The 22361-nt window shown below is 37.6% G+C and overlaps 1 protein-coding gene across 18 annotated transcripts in view, besides 1 other annotated feature; it reads right to left on the bottom strand.

The window, feature by feature from the left end:
- The window catches only part of GALK2 (galactokinase 2), a 211967-nt gene that overhangs the window by 95263 nt on the left and 94343 nt on the right, over positions 1–22361 (bottom strand). The gene's annotated exons all lie outside the window — the stretch shown is intronic.
- Positions 5629–6828: an enhancer, noted in NCBI's record as "MED14-independent group 3 enhancer chr15:49557847-49559046 (GRCh37/hg19 assembly coordinates)". NCBI's record gives its function as "activates an origin of replication core promoter dependent on BRD2, BRD4, P300/CBP and CDK7 cofactors, and independent of MED14, by STARR-seq in HCT116 cells {active_cell/tissue: HCT116}" and the evidence as "EXISTENCE:reporter gene assay evidence [ECO:0000049][PMID:35650434]".

The raw sequence follows: 22361 nt of genomic DNA, 5'->3' as shown, positions 1-22361 counted from the left end.
ACTGAATCAGAATCTGCAACTTAACAAGATCCCCAGGTGATCTGCATGCATATTAAATCTGAAACAGCTCTTTAAATGATTTCCTACATGACAAGGCTTTCTTGATAAATTAAACAAATTGGGAAAGAATATTAACAAAAAAGTGAAGAAAGCTGACAAATACCAAATGTCTTCTAGGGCTAGACACTGTGCAGGGTATTTTGTACATCTTATTTAATTTACAAAACAACCCAGAAAAAGAATTATAACTTTTTATAGAATTGTAACTTCTCTATTTCATAGAGAAGGAAATTGAGGCTCAAAAAGGTCAATAAGCTGACCTAAAATAAGATTCAAAGCCAGAAAGGCCTGGCTCAAAAGTCCACCAAGCTACCTTGTCATTCTGCTTCAGGAAACAGGCTGTGCCCAAAATTGGGCCCTGGTGAGCCAATGGAGCACAATTTATGCATATCTGAACTGAAACTCCTTTTCATTAGAATGAACAATTAAGTTGACCATAAGTTCTAGGAGGCAGACATTTCTGATTCATCAAAATGTTCCTCCATTTTCTCTTCAAGTTAAAAAACGTGTACGTTGCTGGATGGCCTGAGGCTTGGAGGGCTTTGCCATTATCCATTTCCAAACACAATTCCCAAATAGTTTCCTCCCAAAGATCCCAATGTTCTTAATTGTTTCGCAACCCAGAGTGATCTCAATATAGGGCTAATAGCTTGGTATGATTTCTGTAGCCCAATAATTGTAATGCCAGCTAACACAATGCCTCAGACACTGTTCTAAGCACTTTTTGTGTTCTATCTAGTTTCAAATCCGTGAGGGAGGGAGTTTCAAATCCATTTTATAATGAAGAAACTGAAGCATAGAGAGGTTAAATAAACTGCCCAAGATCATTCAGCTAGTAAGTGGCAAAGCCAGAATTTGAGCTCAGAGTCTTGGTTCTATGCTTTTAAGCATAATACTATACTTTATCTCTCAGGGAAAGGTTTCAGGAGTAGACCAGGATCCCAAAATTCAGGAGCCCCCAAAGCCTTCCCTGCATACTTATCTCTCACTAGCACAATTGACTGAATCCCTTTCATTGTTTAAATTCTTAGAAAACACAGGGTGGGAGTTGGAGGGAATAGTCAGCAAACACATACCAAAGTAACTACTACTGGGAAGAGGAGAAGAGGGGAGAAAAAACTGCCTAAAAAAAAGTTGTTGGGGAAAGCCAACAGGAGGCAGGAGCCTGGCCGGCCTGATGGAATCAGACAATAATATGACCCAAGTCACAGCTACTAAATACCAGCGGGGCCTCCAATGCCTGTGGTAAAGGCTGGTGTCACTCCTTTGGCTGGCAGAATACTTATTTTGGCTCTAACCTTCTAAAAATGCTAAATAATGATAATAATGGATGGGCGGCAGGCTTACAATCTCTGTGGTTTGGCAAGCGTGTCCTGGAATTGCATGTTCCTTCCCATGGATAGAGGAACCCTCCTATTCCCTGGAGGAAGGGTTCCTTATACTGTGTTTTGAGCAGAACAGTCCTGTCCCACTCTTGAGGTCCTAACTGCAGGATTTCTAGTGGTAAACCAATCTGGACTCTCCTAGAGAATGACAAGAAGAGAGGGGCATTCGATGACTAGTTACTATTTCTTTCCCTAGCATAATAATAACTATGAGAATACTTGCTAATTTTCCTAATATGGATCTGATCATACAGATATAGATGCAAACGAAAGAGAAAGAAAGAACCTCTATGAATCATAATCCGAGTCAACCAAATACATATCTCAGTGTACACATTTGCCTTGGGGAAAGGGTTTTATGTATACAATAGTTAATTCGCAAACACTTTGACATGTAGTGGGAAGCATCTTTAGGGTCAGGAAATGCTGAGGGTGTTCCAAGAGTTGTTACATGAAATAAATTGATTTTACTGCACTGTGCTCAAATGTTATGCTCAGAGCATCTACTGAAGGTCATTATAAGAAAGAGTCATGTGAACACCACTCTTGCATTTGTTTTCAGACATTGCAGAGGTGATTTTCATTATATTTTATGTGCTCTAAAGAATCCATGTGAGAAATGCATTTCAGAATTTAGCACCCCCAGGGAAAATACTGCCTCTTCTGAAGAACTGGAATGATTCCTCTATTCTGATCATGAGACCTCTATAACTTACTATTGCCCTTTCACCTTGGCCTCCAGGAATCTTAGTAAGTAAGATTAAACAAAACAATTACATTAAGTAATTAAGAGTTGGTATGTTTTTATTCTTTTCTTTTGTCCTAGTTTTCTACTTCTAATTTATTAACCTTACTGAATATTTTGGATTGTATAATTCCTAGACACTTTAAACATAAAGAAAATAGGCACTTGGTACAAATAGAATAAAAAACTGAGACATAGCAGATGGGAGGAATAGTTACGTTAGGGGAGCGATGATAAACAAGAGTACATTCTAAGAAGAGGGAGCAAGAATGGTGAGGAGGTCCAGTAGCCATATTCCATAAGGAATAGTTGAAACAACAGTGGATGTGTGGCTTAGAGAAAGAATAAGAGGACGCACAAGCGGTTCCTTCAAACTTCAAAGGATTCTACTATCAAAAGGAGGAGACAATTGGGGATATATAGATAGAAAGGATAGAGTTTGATTAAATAGAAGGAAAATCTTTCCAATGATTAGAGTGGTCCAAGAATGAAAAGGGCTAATTTGTGAAGCAGTGAGATCACTATGGTAACAGAGGGTAGAAAATGATCTCCTATTAATATCTCAAGTTGGGAGGTGAGTGGAATAAAAATGCACATAGGGAGAGGGCCCCTGAGTTCTGGGGTTCAGAGACAGCAGCGTCTTAACTTCAATTCCTAGGGAAAAACTATACTTCCTTGTCCTCCTCCAAATTTTAAAAATTTATAAATATTCTGTTCTACAAAAGATGAAAATGTATGTAGAAATGCTGAAACAAAAGGGTTAAATTCCTTGCTCTTTGCAAAATAGGAGAGGGAAGTAAAAGGAAAACTTCATGAAACAGTAGAGAATTTCCATTTTGTCCTGTCTTCCAAAATGTGGGTTCTTGGGCACAACTCTACTCCCCATGTTTATGAGGCCTATGCTGAGTTGAGACTACCACAAGAGCTCACCTTCACCCTCCATGCAATCTACCAGGCCCCTGACCTTGCACTGCACAATATACCCTATGGAAGAAGTACCTCAGGGGCAGATTCATTTGATCTCTTGTACAGCACTTTTTAAATATATATTTGCGGCTCTATGCTACACACCATGGGAGAACCAAAAGAAGTGCTGACAACCAATAACTTTCATGAACAATCTAATTACAAATCACAGCCCAAGTACACTCTAATCCATAAGGCAAAAAGCTGACCTAGAAAACCTATCCTTTGAAAAATAAATGATTGTAATCTCTTTCTCCAGATTTTCATTCCTTAAGTACCTACATATAGTTACTCCTGACACTCCCCCAAATTATAAATGTTATAAATACAATGCTTAACAAAACTTAGATAAAAATAGAAACAATATTGCAGATGATGTTGCATAATCACTATCTTGGATGTAAATATAAAAATGTCATTTAGTTTAGCACACTATTGGTAGAAGGGCTCAAAGGAGAGGGAAGTAATTTCTAATGGAACAAAAACTAACCTAGACCAGGAGATGTACCCAATTGGTAAGGTAATTTGCTAGAAAATAAATCCATTTTACACACTGCCAATCCATGGAGCAAAAGATGCTAACATTGTCTAAAGAGAGACAGTAGAAGAAGGGGAGAAAAAGAAGATGATCATTTCTGATCATTTCTAAGGTATACCAGTAAGGATAGAACCCTGGCTGGCTGCTTTGCAAGGTGGATAATGGGCTCCCTGCTACTGGACCAAACAGCAGCCTGCAACATCAGCCACTGTCCTTACATTACACCACCTGTGCCTCAGACTGCAGCTCTGCTCACTTTCTCTCTTACTTCATGATTCTTTCTATCCACATCTTTCAGTGGATATATTACTAATTTCTATAGCTGAAGTTTTAGCTCTGCAAAGCAATCTAGAACACTCTGCATTTTACATTGACATATGACATAGTGACTTTAAAAAATGAGTAATTTTTGGCTTGTACCTGCAACTCAGCTTTTACATCTCAACTGACACCACAAAGCCTTTCCCAAAACTACTCTTCCCCATTTAAATTGGGTTCTCCCTGTTCTCTCTCATAATCTGTTTCCTTCATAACATTTATCACAATCTGTGTACAGATATTTGTGTATGTTTGTTTAATATTAGTCTTCCTCCATTAGTCTAAGCTCCATGAGGGGAGGAGTCATTCTGTTCACCTTGTATCTCTAATACCTAAACTATTTGTTGATAAATGAATGCTGAATAAATGAATGAATGAACAAATGAATATACAATGTCAACTCCCCATTTCCCTGCTAACCCACCATATTCAGAGACAAAAATCTTCCCCTGATAAATGAATATGTACCAAATTAAAATCCTGGAACTATGCAGTCATTATATGACACTGGCAAATCTTGGAGAGTGAAATATCACTTTCTTTTGCTTCATTCAGAGTTTTATAACAGAAAAACCTATCTCATTCTTCTTTATATGTTTATGTGCTGAGATACAGAAAAAAAATCTAGAAAATTCATTATAGTCAATATTTTCCAACTTCCTTCTTTGATAAAAATATGAAAGAAGTAAGGATTTTACTTCTTTCCATTTTTCTGATTTATTCAAGAAAAATATGCCAATAACTATCAAAACATCTATAATATGACCAACATGAAAAGGAGGAAATAAAGAACTAGAAAATTCCAGTAAAACAGAAATAACATGTTATCACAGAAATGGCATTATGTGTAGAAGAAAAAGGGTTTAAGTGATAAAACCATCCAAGACATACCCAAACAGATTTCCCAGTCTGTTACTAGAAACACTGCTGCCATTATTGAAGGGATTGGTATTCCCCATTGGACTGAGACTCTGGAGACAGAAGACCTTGACAACGATTCTTTGCTTGCCCAAACTTCAGTCATGCTCCTGAACCAGCTACTAGGCCCATCTGTTCACCTTGCTAAATCAGTTTAGTGAGAACACCCCACCCTCAATATCTGATCACCCTTGATATCTGATAAGGTTCCTCATCTTCCAACATCCTCCAGGTAATGACTGATCACCTTGGCCTGCATTCAGCAAGAATCCTTTTAGGTCAGGTTAGCTGGAATCCTCATTACTCCTGATGTTTAATTTCCCATTCACTGGCTCCTACCCTGCTCCTTGGCTATAACTTCCCATTTGGCCATGCTGTATTCAGAGTTGAGCCCAATTTCTCTCTCCCATTGCAAAATCTCATCACAATGGTCCTTAAGAAAGCCTGCTTTGCCATGTTTTAACAAATATCATTGAATATTTTTTTCTTTAACACCCTTTACCCCTTTACGTGGCTCAAGTACCTCCCTTCCATACTGGTTTTTAGTTCATCATCTCGTTCCTCCCAGGTCCCAGCCACTACTCTCAATCCCCTGAAATTAATACAGTAGTTATAAAACTCATCGTAATGGACCCATGTGAGATGTCTAGCCACCCTCTTCCCATCTCTACACTTTTCTGGGGACACTGAACTCTTTTTCCTCCTTCTTAGCACTCTACCTCCAACTATTAATACCACAAGGTTATAACAATATAACTCATAATTGCCAGATTCACACACACACCCAATCTCCCATCCACCCAACAAAATGCTTTATCACCATTCATAGATCCAGGAGTGGGTACCTGGCTGAAGACACTAACCAGATTCCCCTTCTAGAGTTCCTTCTTCAGAAAAATCTTCCCAATGGGGAAAGAGTCAGTTTTAAGCGATCTATGTCTATCTCATATGATCATAGAAGCTGTCAGCAGCCATATTTTCTAAAATGGAGACCAGAGAAGTAGAGGAAGCTGGTCTGAAGATTAAGAAGAATGAAACAGACAAGCAAAACAGAGAGCAAGACAAGTGAGAGAGGCAGTCTTAACGACACTTAGGTTTCTGTGCATTCCTGAAACCCAGCTCCATTATATTAGACTGCAAAATGACCACAAATTCTTCCCCTCTCTGTTTCCGTTCCCTTGCAATGTGACTTTGCAGTTCCACCCATCAAAAGATGAAATCTGTTTCTCCACTCATTAAATCTGGGATAAAACTTGCTTTGCTCAATTTGGGTAGAGGCATATGAGATATAAACAGAAACTTGAAAAGCACTTGTACATTGGAGCTTGCCCTCCACCTGCTCTTGGAAGCTGGAGATCTCCATTTGGACAAGCCTGGACTAGCCTGGAGGATGATAAACATGTGGCCCAAGGCCTCCTATCATGTCGGCTGACAGCCAGCCAATCCAGAAGCAGAAGTGCCAACTTGACCAGCAGCTGAGATCAGATGTCTTAATGAGTCCAGACAAAATAGACAGAATTACTGTCAAGCTGAACCCAGTCCAAGTGGTGGTAGTCTTAAGCCACTATATTTCGAAAAAAATTGTTACACAGCAAAAGCTAACTGACATACCCTCCTTCGCATTTTAGGACACATACTTAAAGCAAACACTCCTTTTTTAATGAAGCTGGCTTGAGTGGGCTATTTTTCCTTGCTAGCAAGAATCTTAAAAACTCACAAGCGCTTTTGGAATATTTTATCTTCACAGAAGCCCAAAGAATATTCAAACATTCAAACAATTTCAAACATTTTGTTCCATTCAGTTAAAAAAACATGGAACTACTGGGGCAGGAGCAAAGATGGCCGAATAGGAACAGCTCCGCTCTACAGCTCCCAGCGTGAGCGACGCAGAAGACGGGTGATTTCTGCATTTCCATCTGAGGTACTGGGTTCATCTCCCTAGGGAGTGCCAGACAGTGGGCACAGGATAGTGGATGCAGCGCACTGCGCGCGAGCCAAAACAGGGCGAGGCATTGCCTCACTCGGGAAGCGCAACGGGTCAGGGAGTTCCCTTTCCTAGTCAAAGAAAGGGGTGACAGACAGCACCTGGAAAATCGCATCACTCCCAACCCAACACTGCGCTTTTCCGACGGGCTTAAAAAACGGCACACCAGGAGATTATATCCTGCACCTGGCTCAGAGGGTCCTATGCCCACGGAGCCTCGCTGATTGCTAGCACAGCAGTATAAGATCAAACTGCAAGGCGGCAGCCAGGCTGGGGGAGGGCGCGCGCCATTGCCCAGGCTTCCTTAGGTAAATAAAGCAGCCAGGAACCTAGAACTGGGTGGAGCCCACCACAGCTCAAGGAGGCCTGCCTGCCTCTGTAGGCTCCACCTCTGGGGGAAGGGCACAGACAAAAAGACAGCAGTAACCTCTGCAGACTTAAATGTCCCTGTCTGACAGCTTTGAAGAGAGCAGTGGTTCTCCCAGCACGCAGCTGGAGATCTGAGAATGGGCAGACTGCCTCCTCAAGTGGGTCCCTGACCCCTGACCCCCAAGCAGCCTAACTGGGAGGCACCCCCCAGTAGGGGCAGACTGACACCTCACACGGCTGGGTACTCCTCTGAGACAAAACTACCAGAGGAACGATCAGACAGCAGCATTCGCGGTTCACGAAAATCCGCTGTACTACAGCCACCACTGCTGGTACCCAGGCAAACAGGGTCTGGAGTGGACCTCTAGCAAACTCCAACAGACCTGCAGCTGAGGGTCCTGTCTGTTAGAAGGAAAACTAACAAACAGAAAGGACATACACACCAAAAACCCATCTGTACATCACCATCATCAAAGACCAAAAGTAGATAAAACCACAAAGATGGGGAAAAAACAGAACAGAAAAACTGGAAACTCTAAAAAGCAGAGCGCCTCTCCTCCTCCAAAGGAACGCAGTTCCTCACCAGCAATGGAACAAAGCTGGATGGAGAATGACTTTGACGAGCTGAGAGAAGAAGGCTTCAGACGATCAAATTACTCTGAGCTACGTTGGGAGGACATTCAAACCAAAGGCAAAGAAGTTGAAAACTTTGAAAAAAATTTAGACGAATGTATAACTAGAATAATCAATACAGAGAAGCGCTTAAAGGAGCTGATGGAGCTGAAAGCCAAGGCTCGAGAACTACGTGAAGAATGCAGAAGCCTCAGGAGCCGATGCGATCAACTGGAAGAAAGGGTATCAGTGATGGAAGATGAAATGAATGAAATGAAGCGAGAAGGGAGGTTTAGAGAAAAAAGAATAAAAAGAAATGAGCAAAGCCTCCAAGAAATATGGGACTATGTGAAAAGACCAAATCTACGTCTGATTGGTGTACCTGAAAGTGATGGGGAGAATGGAACCAAGTTGGAAAACACTCTGCAGGATATTATCCAGGAGAACTTCCCCAATCTAGCAAGGCAGGCCAACGTTCAGATTCAGGAAATCCAGAGAACGCCACAAAGATACTCCTCGAGAAGAGCAACTCCAAGACACATAATTGTCAGATTCACCAAAGTTGAAATGAAGGAAAAAATGTTAAGGACAGCTAGAGAGAAAGGTCGGGTTACCCTCAAAGGGAAGCCCATCAGACTAACAGTGGATCTCTTGGCAGAAACCCTACAAGCCAGAAGAGAGTGGGGGCCAATATTCAACATTCTGAAAGAAAAGAATTTTCAACCCAGAATTTCATATCCAGCCAAACTAAGCTTCATAAGTGAAGGAGAAATAAAATACTTTACAGACAAGCAAATGCTGAGAGATTTTCTCACCAACAGGCCTGCCTTACAAGAGCTCCTGAAGGAAGCACTAAACATGGAAAGGAACAACCAGTACCAGCCGCTGCAAAATCATGCCAAAATGTAAAGACCATCGAGACTAGGAAGAAACTGCATCAACTAACAAGCAAAATAACCAGCTAACATCATAATGACAGGATCAAATTCACATATAACAATATTAACTTTAAATGTAAATGGACTAAATGCTCCAATTAAAAGACACAGACTGGCAAATTGGATAAAGAGTCAAGACCCATCAGTGTGCTGTATTCAGGAAACCCATCTCATGTGCAGAGACACACATAGGCTCAAAATAAAAGGATGGAGGAAGATCTACCAAGCCAATGGAAAACAAAAAAAGGCAGGGGTTGCAATCCCAGTCTCTGATACAACAGACTTTAAACCAACAAAGATCAAAAGAGACAAAGAAGGCCATTACATAATGGTAAAGGGATCAATTCAACAAGAAGAGCTAACTATCCTAAATATATGTGCACCCAATACAGGAGCACCAAGATTCATAAAGCAAGTCCTGAGTGACCTACAAAGAGACTTAGACTCCCACACATTAATAATGGGAGACTTTAACACCCCACTGTCAACATTAGACAGATCAACGAGACAGAAAGTCAACAAGGATACCCAGGAATTGAACTCAGCTCTGCACCAAGCGGACCTAATAGACATCTACAGAACTCTCCACCCCAAATCAACAGAATATACATTTTTTTCAGCACCACACCACACCTATTCCAAAACTGACCACATACTTGGAAGTAAAGCTCTCCTCAGCAGATGTAAAAGAACAGAAATTATAACAAACTATCTCTCAGACCACAGTGCAATCAAACTAGAACTCAGGATTAAGAATCTCACTCAAAACTGCTCAACTACATGGAAACTGAACAACCTGCTCCTGAATGACTACTGGGTACATAATGAAATGAAGGTAGAAATAAAGATGTTCTTTGAAACCAACGAGAACAAAGACACAACATACCAGAATCTCTGGGATGCATTCAAAGCAGTGTGTAGAGGGAAATTTATAGCACTAAATGCCCACAAGAGAAAGCAGGAAAGATCCAAAATTGACACCCTAACATCACAATTAAAAGAACTAGAAAAGCAAGAGCAAACACATTCAAAAGCTAGCAGAGGGCAAGAAATAACTAAAATCAGAGCAGAACTGAAGGAAATGGAGACACAAAAAACCCTTCAAAAAATTAATGAATCCAGGAGCTGGTTTTTTTGAAAGGATCAACAAAATTGACAGACCGCTAGCAAGACTAATACAGAAGAAAACAGAGAAGAATCAATAGACGCAATAAAAAATGATAAAGGGGATATCACCACCGATCCCACAGAAATACAAACTACCATCAGAGAATACTACAAACACCTCTATGCAAATAAACTAGAAAATCCAGAAGAAATGGATAAATTCCTCGACACATACACCCTCCCAAGACTAAACCAGGAAGAAGTTGAATCTCTGAAAAGACCAATAACAGGCTCTGAAATTGTGGCAATAATCAATAGCTTACCAACCAAAAAGAGTCCAGGACCAGATGGATTCACAGCCGAATTCTACCAGAGGTACAAGGAGGAACTGGTACCATTCCTTCTGAAAATATTCCAATCAATAGAAAAAGAGGGAATCCTCCCTAACTCATTTTATGAGGCCAGCATCATCCTGATGTCAAAGCCGGGCAGAGACACAACCAAAAAAGAGAATTTTAGACCAATATCCTTGAAGAACATTGATGCAAAAATCCTCAATAAAATACTGGCAAACTGAATCCAGCAGCACATCAAAAAGCTTACCCACCATGATCAAGTGGGCTTCATCCCTGGGATGCAAGGCTGGTTCAATATACACAAATCAATAAATGTAATCCAGCATATAAACAGAACCAAAGACAAAAACCACATGATTATCTCAATAGATGCAGAAAAAGCCTTTGACAAAATTCAACAACCCTTCATGCTAAAAACTCTGAATAAATTAGGTATTGATGGGATGTATTTCAAAATAATAAGAGCTATCTATGACAAACCCACAGCCAATATCATACTGAATGGGCAAAAACTGGAAGCATTCCCTTTGAAAAGTGGCACAAGACAGGGATGCCCTCTCTCACCACTCCTATTCAACATAGTGTTGGAAGTTCTGGCCAGGGCAATTAGGCAGGAGAAGGAAATAAAGGGTATTCAATCAGGAAAAGAGGAAGTCAAATTGTCCCTGTTTGCGGATGACATGATTGTATATCTGGAAAACCCCATTGTCTCAGCCCAAAATCTCCTTAAGCTGATAAGCAACTTCAGCAAAGTCTCAGGATACAAAATCAATGTACAAAAATCACAAGCATTCTTATACACCAATAACAGACAAACAGACAGCTAAATCATGAGTGAACTCCCATTCACAATTGCTTCAAAGAGAATAAAATACCTAGGAATCCAACTTACAAGGGACGTGAAGGACCTCTTCAAGGAGAACTACAAACCACTGCTCAAGGAAATAAAAGAGGATACAAACAAATGGAAGAACATTCCATGCTCATGGGTAGGAAGAATCAATATCATGAAAATGGCCATACTGCCCAAGGTAATTTATAGATTCAATGCCATCCCCATCAAGCTACCAATGACTTTCTTCACAGAATTGGAAAAAACTACTTTAAAGTTCATATGGAACCAAAAAAGAGCCTGCATTGCCAAGCCAATCCTAAGCCAAAAGTACAAAGCTGGAGGCATCACACTACCTGACTTCAAACTATACTACAAGGCTACAGTAACCAAAACAGCATGGTACTGGTACCGAAACAGAGATATAGATCAATGGAACAGAACAGAGCCCTCAGAAATAACACCACATATCTACAACTATCTGATATTTGACAAACCTGAGAAAAACAAGCAATGGGGAAAGGATTCCCTATTTAATAAATGGTGCTGGGAAAACTGGCTAGCCATATGTAGAAAGCTGAAACTCGATCCCTTCCTTACACCTGATACAAAAATCAATTCAAGATGGATTAAAGACTTAAACGTTAGACCTAAAACCATAAAAACCCTAGAAGAAAACCTAGGCATTACCATTCAGGACATAGGCATGGGCAAGGACTTCATGTCTAAAACACCAAAAGCAATGGCAACAAAAGCCAAAATTGACAAATGGGATCTAATTAAACTAAAGAGCTTCTGCACAGCAAAAGAAACTACCATCAGAGTGAACAGGCAACCTACAAAATGGGAGAAAATTTTCACAACCTACTCGTCTGACAAAGGGCTAATATCCAGAATCTACAATGAACTCAAACAAATTTACAAGAAAAAAACAAACAACCCCATGAAAAAGTGGGCGAAGGACATGAACAGACACTTCTCAAAAGAAGACATTTATGCAGCCAAAAAACACATGAAATTGGCCATCAGAGGAATGCAAATCAAAACCACAATGAGATACCATCTCACACCAGTTAGAATGGCGATCATTAAAAAGTCAGGAAACAACAGGTGCTGGAGAGGATGTGGAGAAATAGGAACACTTTTACACTGTTGGTGGGACTGTAAACTAGTTCAAACCTTGTGGAAGTCTGTGTGGCGATTCCTCAGGGATCTAGAACTAGAAATACCATTTCACCCAGCCATCCCATTACTGGGTATATACCCAAAGGACTATAAATCATGCTGCTATAAAGACACATGCACACGTATGTTTATTGCGGCACTATTCACAATAGCAAAGACTTGGAACCAACCCAAATGTCCAACAATGATAGACTGGATTAAGAAAATGTGGCACATATACACCATGGAATACTATGCAGCCATAAAAAATGATGAGTTCATATCCTTTGTAGGGACGTGGATGAAACTGGAAATCATCATTCTCAGTAAAGTATCGCAAGAACAAAAAAACCAAACACCACATATTCTCACTCATAGGTGGGAATTGAACAATGAGAACATATGGACACAGGAAGGGGAACATCACACTCTGGGGACTGTGGTGGGGTTGGGGGAGGGGGGAGGGATAGCATTGGGAGATATACCTAATGCTAGATGACAAGTTAGTGGGTGCAGCGCACCAGCATGGCACATGTATACATATGTAACTAACCTGCACATTGTGCACATGTACCCTAAAACTTAAAGTATAATAATAATTAAAAAAAAAAAAGAAAATGTGGCACATATACACCATGGAATACTATGCAGCCATAAAAAATGATGAGTTCATGTCCTTTGTAGGGACCTGGATGAAATTGGAAATCATCATTCTCAGTAAACTATCACAAGAACAAATAACCAAACACCACATATTCTCACTCATAGGTGGGAACTGAACAATGAGAACACATGGACACAGGAAGGGGAACATCACACTCTGGGGAACTGTTGTGGGGTGGGGGGAGGGGGGATGGATAGCTTTAGGAGATATACCTAATGCTAAATGAGGAGTTAATGGGTGCAGCACAACAGCATGGCACATGTATACATATGTAACTAACCTGCACATTGTGCACATGTACCCTAAAACTTAAAGTATAATAATAATAAAATAAAATAAATAATGGAACTACTCACTTTATCCTTCCCTGAGGTCTATGATCATCTCCTCTATAGCTTATCAATTTTTAGTATACATATATATATATGTATACAAAATAGGAGAAAATTTTCACAACCTACTCATCTGACAAAGGGCTAATATCCAGAATCTACAGTGAACTCAAACAAATTTACAAGAAAAAAACAACCCCATCAAAAAATGGGTGAAGGACATGAACTGACACTTCTCAAAAGAAGACATTTATGCAGCCAAAAAACACATGAAAAAATGCTCACCATCACTGGCCATCAGAGAAATGCAAATCAAAACCACAATGAGATACCATCTCTCTCTCTCTCTCTCTCTCTCTCACACACACACACACACACACACACACACACACACATATATATATATATATATGCTTCCAAATAAATGTGCTTCTGGGGATATAGTAACAGGAGAAAACAGACCAGAATTCTAAACCCTTCTCATTTTCTACTTGCTTTTTCACTACAACTAAATTCAAGGAGCAACTCCTCTGGGGAACTTTTCCTGGCCTCCTGGGACCTGAGTTACATACTTTAACTCTCTGCTCTATTACATCATGTGGGTGTATAGCACAGTGGTTAAAGCATGTAAGTTTCCTTCTCTGCAAAATACAAATTATAATAATTACCTACTTCATTGTGTCACTGTTAGGATTTTAAAAGCCTAGCATATAGTTAGTGCATCAATATCCCACCACCTCAGGATCTTTATATCCACCATTCCTTCAGTCTGGAATGCCCTTATCCCAAAATCTCTGCTCAAACGTTACCTCATCAGACAGAACTTCCCTTACTTCCTTAAAATATACTAATACCCCCTGCCACTCTCCATCTCAAACCCTGCTTTTTCTTCAAGGCTTTTAACACTTTAGGTTATCTTTTCACTTATTTCTTTTCCATCACCCTTCTTTCCCCACTTAATTGTAAGCTCCATGAGAGCAGGCACTGCATTTTAGTAATTGCTCTACCCCAGTGCCAGGAATAGTGCCTGACACAAAATAGATATGTTATTAAAAATTGTTAATTGAATCAACATATGAGCTAAATGTAGTCTCTTTGAGTTGTAATATTTAAAGATACAAAGATTTTATTTTCCTCACAATACTTAAGGTGACTGTGAGTCCAATATTTGGTTGTATAAGATTATGGATAATTTTCTTTAATTTCTAATTAAATAAAATGTTATTTTATTATAATTATAATTAAAATTAAATAAAATGTTATTTTATTACAATTATAATTAAAATTAAATAAAATAATCCATAATCTTATAAAATAGAATATATTGCTTTTACAGTTAAAAAAATTTTAAGGAACATATAATCATTTCTAATGAGATCAGGAAAAACCTAGGGTTATTAAGAAATATAGTTTCACCCATTTAAGATGTTGTGCTGTATTTCCTACTTCTACCCATGGCTTTGGGAACACCCAGCTCATGAACTAGCCCTCAGTGCTAAAACTCACACTTGAAAACTGTATTCTCACTGCCATTGTGTTCAGTCAATATTTATAATTTTTAACTACAACACTTTAATTAGAAAATATTTAATTGATCTTAAATTTCTGATAAACAAAAACTCTAACTTTACTAGTTATAATAGCTATGTAATGCCTATTCTTTACACTAAAGGAGAATACAATCAGGGATAAAAGAGAGGTTTCCACATGCATCCAGAGATATTTATGCCTTTAGAAACATCTCCATTTTGGGTAGCCAATTATATTATATGAGTGCATCCCATTTCTTTGCCTCTGTTGCTCCTTTACCACCTCCCTGTGTAATAACTCCTTCATCTGAGAATGTAAGAGGCAGGTGACAAAATTCAGCGGGTTCAAGTGTGACATCCAAGAGGAACAGTCTTTACTAGAACTGTTACTATGACAACTTTACTAATTCACATGCTTAAATTTATGGGATTTATGTCTGTATATAACAGACAAAGCCTATTAGCAACTAGGCGGAACCCAGCAACTAGCACAAATGCCTAAAACTAATAATGACAGTCACCAGCCAGTGTGGCAGAGACACCAACAACTCAGAATAGACATCAGCCATAAGAGAGGCAGGAGAGAGACCAGTGGATCAACCCTGCCTGGAACATAATAACTCCTCAGTCAATGTGGATAAATGAATAAATCCTCTGGATTAAACCAAATTGTAAAATTGATAGAATCTCAAGTTAAAACTCAAATAATTATTTATGTCATCACCAGGAAATTATGTTGCAAATGAGATTACATTTTTTTAATTAATTCAGTTAGGCACCATACTGCCTGATCTAAATCAGTTGTGATTTGAGTCTATGGGGATCCAAACATTTAAAAAATAAATAGTCTCTATGCTTGAAAACCCCATGATGGTCTAGAGGGAAACATCTTTACAATACAAACTAAGAAGCGCTATAGTGAAGTTAAAAGTTAATAGGATATTGACATCTTACAGGCCAAGGAGCTTTAATCAAGGGGGCAACAGGGGAGAATCTATTTAACCAATTACATCTGGCTAAAGCTTGCAAATTGACACGGATGGTACTGAGTAAGCAAATATACGTGAATGGTTCAGTACCAGCAATACAACTATCTGTCTGCCTCCTATAGATGAGGAAAGGACTGTACTGTTTATCTTTTCTTGCTTCCAATGTGCTAACTACATGACTAGAGAAACCTGAAAAGATCAAATAACAATCAAATGATGGTTCCATCAACACCACCCATCTGGAAAGAAAGAAAAGGCTAAAACACATAAGAAAGCATGCACATGAAAGGCAGCTATCTGCCCATGTCAGGGCTCTCTTAAGTCCACCTGTTCCCTGCAGAAGCTCTGGCTTATACCAATTTATCTAGACGGGCTACAGTATCATTTTTACAGTTATATATACTACTGATCAGCCTCTTTTAATCTAACACAGAGCTCTAGAGAATTAAGCCTGTGTAGCATAAACCCCTTAAAAGATTACAATAATTACAGACACAAAGACATGTAAATATTTGTTAGTCAAACCAAATTCGCGTTGCTTGGTATTTTCTTTGGAGCCTGCCCATGTCATTATACTGAAATGTGATATATACAAACCCTAAGTGACTGCAAGTGAAATAATGTAACCCTATATACACAGTGGCAGTATAAAATTACATCTGCTTTGGTTATTTTTATGTTAGACATCTCAAACAGTTTATTCCAAGCTTAGTACATTTTGTTTCCTAAACAAAACAATGAAGAACATGAACAGACTTAAATAGCAGTGCAATAATGAATTGAAATTCCTTGACAAAATTGAGAATTTGTGATTTTTAAGTCATTGCTATTTTTCACTCATTTGACAAACATGCATTATTAATTAAAACATGTAATAGAAGACTATGTTATAGTCTCTATCATCACTTTTAATACACTTTTAAAGAACTTTTATTAACAAAAACTCCACCTTTATAAAGGGGAATTCATATGACATACCTAAACTATGGCATTATTTTGATAGACAGCAGATCTCTACCTATCTCTGTGTATTAAATAATGTTAAGTACAATTGGAGAAACAGAAACCATGTGATGCAATTCACCAAGAAGGACATCCATCACCTATACAGTATTCTTGGGGCAAAAAACCTTAGTCTCAATCTAATAATAAGGCAACCGTCTGACAAATCCAAATTCAGGAAATTTGAACAAAAAAATTTGGCCTGGACGCTTCAAAATTGTCAGTGTCATAAAAGACAAAAAAATGCTGGGGAACTGTTCTAAAATAAAGTAAACTAAAAAAATGAAAAAAAAACTAAATGCAATGATGATATTAATTAAATCCAATTATTGGTAAAACTGAGTATTATTATGAGTAGTATTTAATTCCTTTCTTTTTAATTTTTCAGATCCAGAATGTATTCAATTATCTTGAATAAGTAAATTCTCAATCAGAAAAAATTAAAAGAAAGAAAGAAAAAGAACAAGAAAAAGAAGTTCTAAAGGACATTACTATTGAGACAATTGGGAAATTTGAATATGAACTGCATATTAGATAATAATATTATATCAATGTTAAATGTTCCAATGATATAGTGTGGCATATTAAAGAATGCCTTGCTTTGAGGGGATGAATATTGATGTACTCAGAGGTGATGTCCGCAATTAATTCCCAAATGGCTCAGAAAAAAAAGTAGAGAGAAAGATAAAGCAAATGTGGCAAAATGTTTCCAAGGATCTATGTGAAAGACATACATGTTCATTGCCTATTCTTGCCTCTTCTATCCTTTTGAAATTTTCTCATAATTAAAAGTTGGAAAAAAATTTTAAGTGGTACATTAACAATACATCTAATCATGTGTGTGTGAGAGATGTAACATCGCTGTCAATAGGTAACAATATTATCCCAAATAATTGAAGAAAATCAATGAAAACTTCTAAATATAAAAGCACCCTGCATTAACACATAGGTTTCTGTGAACTATCCCTAAAAAATCTACATCTTTTAAATTTTTCCAATAAATTTCTTCCTTTATCACCAAATTTTCTTTTATCCAAATTCTCTGCTTTATCACCAAATTTAAACCATAGTGACATTTGAAGAACTATTTATAAAACCTGATGAGAATTAAAATATTTTGTCATGAAAATAAATATAAATACAAATTAAATTATAAAAATAAAAAGGAGCACTTTCATTACAATGAAAAGGTCTTGACAGCATAAAGAGTCCTGATTGCTTAGATTTTTGCTTATATTTTACAAAGCAATAACATAATTTTATCAGAAGAAGAAATAATCAGATAATCTCTGAATGCCTTTGTAACCACAGGACTCATCACCAATTTTACTTTCTCTGTAACTTACTTAAAATGTAAGAGATTTATGGTCTTTGATGGTCACAAATAAATTCCACAGGGTCTTGCTTCACTTTAATTTATATAAATACAGTCAAAATTAACAACCAGTTGTTAATTCATCCAAATATAGTACTAACACTAGGGGAAAATGGCTGCTTTACAGATGAAGGTAGTTCACTAATTCAACCCAATCCAATTACTTGCCTCCTTTATGTCAGGCACTGTAAAGATGCTCATAAGAAAGTGATACAATCATCTCTCTTTAGGGAGAAAAGTTTTAAGGTTATTTACAATTTGCCAGACTAACTGCACTTCTTTTATTCTTAACAAATTTATATGTCCTTCAAGATTGAAAATTCATCCCTATTGTCAATACCAGTGGCTGACCCAAGATCCAGAAGGGCTGAATGAACCTAAGCCTATCCACCCAATGACTGTGCCCCTCAACAGTTTTGTGTAGTTGTTGTTGATGATGATGATGATGATGATGCTTGGTGTTTTAAGGTCCAAAGATGAAATGGGGACAATGTTAATATACTATAAAAGTGAAATCTTCCATATCTCTTTGATATAACATAAAGTCTAGAGTCCTAAGTAAACACTCCTATAGCTAGGCTCCAGGAAGTCTCTGAGAGGCAGGGCTCTGGTCTAAGAAGTTGGCAGTTGTACCTTACTTAACAGAGTTAAATGGCCTATCATATGGATCATGGTACAGTTCTTTGAAACTTTCCAAGTGCTAAACAGATGGTAAGTTACATTATTCATGATTCAAAAGTGTATGTCTTACTGCACAAATGCTATTGGAAAAAATATTCCTGCTGGCTGCTCTGCCTATGAAGTAGTGATTCTTTTATTCCTTTAGTTGCTTAATAAACTTGCTTTCACCACAAAAAAAAAGAAAGAAAGAAAAAATATTCCTGCTTACAATGCAAATCAGTCACAGTTTTGGTTCCTCTGAGTAAGCGTCTAAAGATAAAAGGTCACACCTGTAGTAGACAAGAGAACCCTGGGATCCATTTAGTGGAGATCTCCTGAGAGATGCTAAGTAAAATCCCTGAGTCTATGAGGCTCCCTGTGTCCAAGTACTTCAAAATGAAATGAGAGATTATAGAGTATTTTCAACTCAAGGAAGATAAAATTGAATGCACATATAATGATCCTATGCTATATGTGATTAAATATGACTAAAGTGACTTTTGCTTCACAATTGTTAGTTTAAAAGAAGTCAAACAGAAAATTAGTTTGAGCAGGGATAAATATTTGCAACATATAATAGATGAATGGTTAGCATATGAAGAGTTCTTATAAAGTAATAAGATGATTGATAAATACTCCAGGAGAAAATGAGCTGAGTTGATATACAGCCAAATCAAAAAATGCAAGTGATCAATAAAAGACATGGAAAAGATTAAACATTTAAACTATCTAATTAAACTATCTAATAATTAAAGAAATGGCCATGACAACATCTTTCAGATTAGGAAAGATTTAAAAGATTGATAGAACTTCAGTAGTAGGAAAATAGATCCTCTCATGCAATGTTGCTGCATTGCTGGTAAAATCTTTCCGGATTGGGCAGTGTATTTCAAAAGTAAAGTTATCATATCTTTTAACCCAGTAACTTTATGTTCTGGGATTTATGTTAAATAAAAAAGTGAATAAGTATGAAAATAATTGTCTACAAGAATATTCATCAGAGCCTTCTTTATAATAGTGGAAACTTGAAAACAACCTACATTTCCATCATAGAGGTCTAGTTAAATAAAGTATAGCATATCCTTATAAAGAAATATTATTAAGTATTAAAACTGATATTATACAAAACCCTGGAAACAACTGAAATGTCCAATAGTCAGGCCAATTTTAGAACATTACCATCACACCAAAATCTATAATTGGGCATTATAGTATGACCGTATATTAGAAAACAAGGCAGCCATTAAAGAGAATTCAGTATATGTAGATGTGCTGACATGGAATGATTCCCAATTTATGGTTTTAAGTGAAAAAGCAAAGCAAGGGGAAAGATGTGTGTGTATGTGTGTGTGTGTATAATTTTTTTTTTGAGACGAAGTCTTACTCTGTCACCCAGACTGGAGTGCAATGGTGCGATCTCGCCTCACTGCAACCTCTGCCTCCCGGGTTCAAGCAATCCTCCTGCCTCAGCCTCCTGATAGCTGGGATTACAGGTGCTCACCATCATACCCAGCTAATTTTTTGTATTTTTAGGAGAGACAGAGTTTCACCATGTTGGCCAGGGTGGTCTCAAACTCCTGACCTCAAGTGATCCACCCGCCTTTGCCTCCCAAAGTGCTGGGATTACAGGCATGAGGCACCGCACCGGGCCAATATATACATATATTTATATATAAAATTTTCCTGGGTGTTTTACAAAAAGGGCAAACATATGTATATATTACATTGGATAGAGTATTTCTGGAAGGATTCATTAAAAATCTTTTAACAGTGGTTGATCCTAGGGTTGAAGAAAGTCTTGCTATTTTTTATGTTTAGGAAGTACAGAACATAGAGAAAAGTATATAAAGCATAAAAATAAAGCTTAATAATTTGTCACAAAGGAAACATCCTCGTAACCACCATCAAGGTTAAGAAATGAAGCACTTAGAATCAGAGTGGAATGATGGTTGCTGGTGCAGGGTGAGGTGGATGGGGAGTTACTAATCAACTGGCATAAAGCTTCAGTCAAACAAGCTGGACAAGCTCTAGAGATCTGCTCTACAACATTGCACCTATAGTCAATGATAATGTATTATACATTTAAAATTTTGTTAAGAGGGTAGATCTCATGTTAAGTGGTCTTGCCACAATAAAAGAAAAAGTAATGAACCTCTGCCAGCACTCTAGAAGGTCTCTTCATGTCTCTACCTAATCATTTCTCTTCCCTAATTCCCAAAGGCAGTCATTATACTGAATTCTACTAATTTGCTAAGAGTTTTTATCATGAATGCATGATAAATCTTATCAAACTCTTTCCTTTATATATCAAGATGACATGTTTTACTGTTAATATGGTAAATAACACTGATTTTTAAATGATAAACCAACCTTAAATTCTTAGAATAAACTCATCTTGGCCACAATGTATTAGCCTATAATATTACCAGATTAAATTTGTGAACATTTTGTTCAGAATTTTTTGTATCCAATGTCATGAGAGAGATTGACCTGTAATTCTCTTTTCTTGTGATGTCCTTGTCAGGTTTGGTATCAAGCTATCACATTTGGTTTGGCAGAAAGGTTTTACTGGCCTCATAATACAAGTTGGGAAGTGTTCTTTGTTTTCGTATTCTTTGGAAGAATTTGTATATGCTACTTTTGCATGACATTTCCATTTTTATGTTAATCTAATCTCCCTACTGAAATTATAAACTTCTAAGGCCCAAAGACTGTATCTAAGTTTTCCTATATCCTGAGAATCCAACCGTTTGCTTTGGATATAGTAGGATTTCAAAAAAATATCATTATAACTTTGACAAAGAGTATAAAATCTGTCAACTTATTTAAAAAATCCAATTCACATTAATTATATACATGAAAATGTATAATTTACTTCCCTGTCTTTTAGGACATCAGAAGGATCACAGAATGTTAGGGCTGGACCTCATCTCCAGGGTTTTCCGATGTCTATGATACTGATTATATCAGACAATATGGTATAATTACATTATACCATAGGTAGCAGCATGGCTGAATAGAAAAGTATCCATTTTGGATCAAAAATATGTGAGCTGGAATCCAGACAACTCCAGTTACATGTGATTTGTCTTTGGTGACATTATATAAATTCTCTGAGCCTCATATTTTCCTCTGCAAAATTGAAATAGTAGTAAAACTTATTTACAAGACTACCACAAAGTTAGAGTTGATGTGCATAAAACATCTAGGTGCTTAACAGTAATTTTTTTAAAAAGACATCTTTTACTCTCATGAAAATTCTAACATAAAACTTTAAAGTCATATTTTGCAGTAATAACCTCCAAATCTTTGTGTCTCCAATACTGCAGTGCATGCTTTAACCAGTCTCATTTATTAACCTTTTCTCTTTGAATCACTTTCTTCTCCACACAATATGATTTGGCTCCTTACTCTTCCCATGACCACTGTTAGAAATGCTTGTTCCCCGGTGCCATAAAGAAATAGCACTTGAACATAAATTTAATTTCCTCAGCAAGGCCATTTTTACTTTCTGCAGA

Source organism: Homo sapiens, chromosome 15 (genome assembly GCF_000001405.40).
Source record: "Homo sapiens chromosome 15, GRCh38.p14 Primary Assembly".
NCBI classification, from domain to species: domain Eukaryota; kingdom Metazoa; phylum Chordata; class Mammalia; order Primates; family Hominidae; genus Homo; species Homo sapiens.
This window is presented reverse-complemented; position numbering and strand designations above follow the sequence as displayed.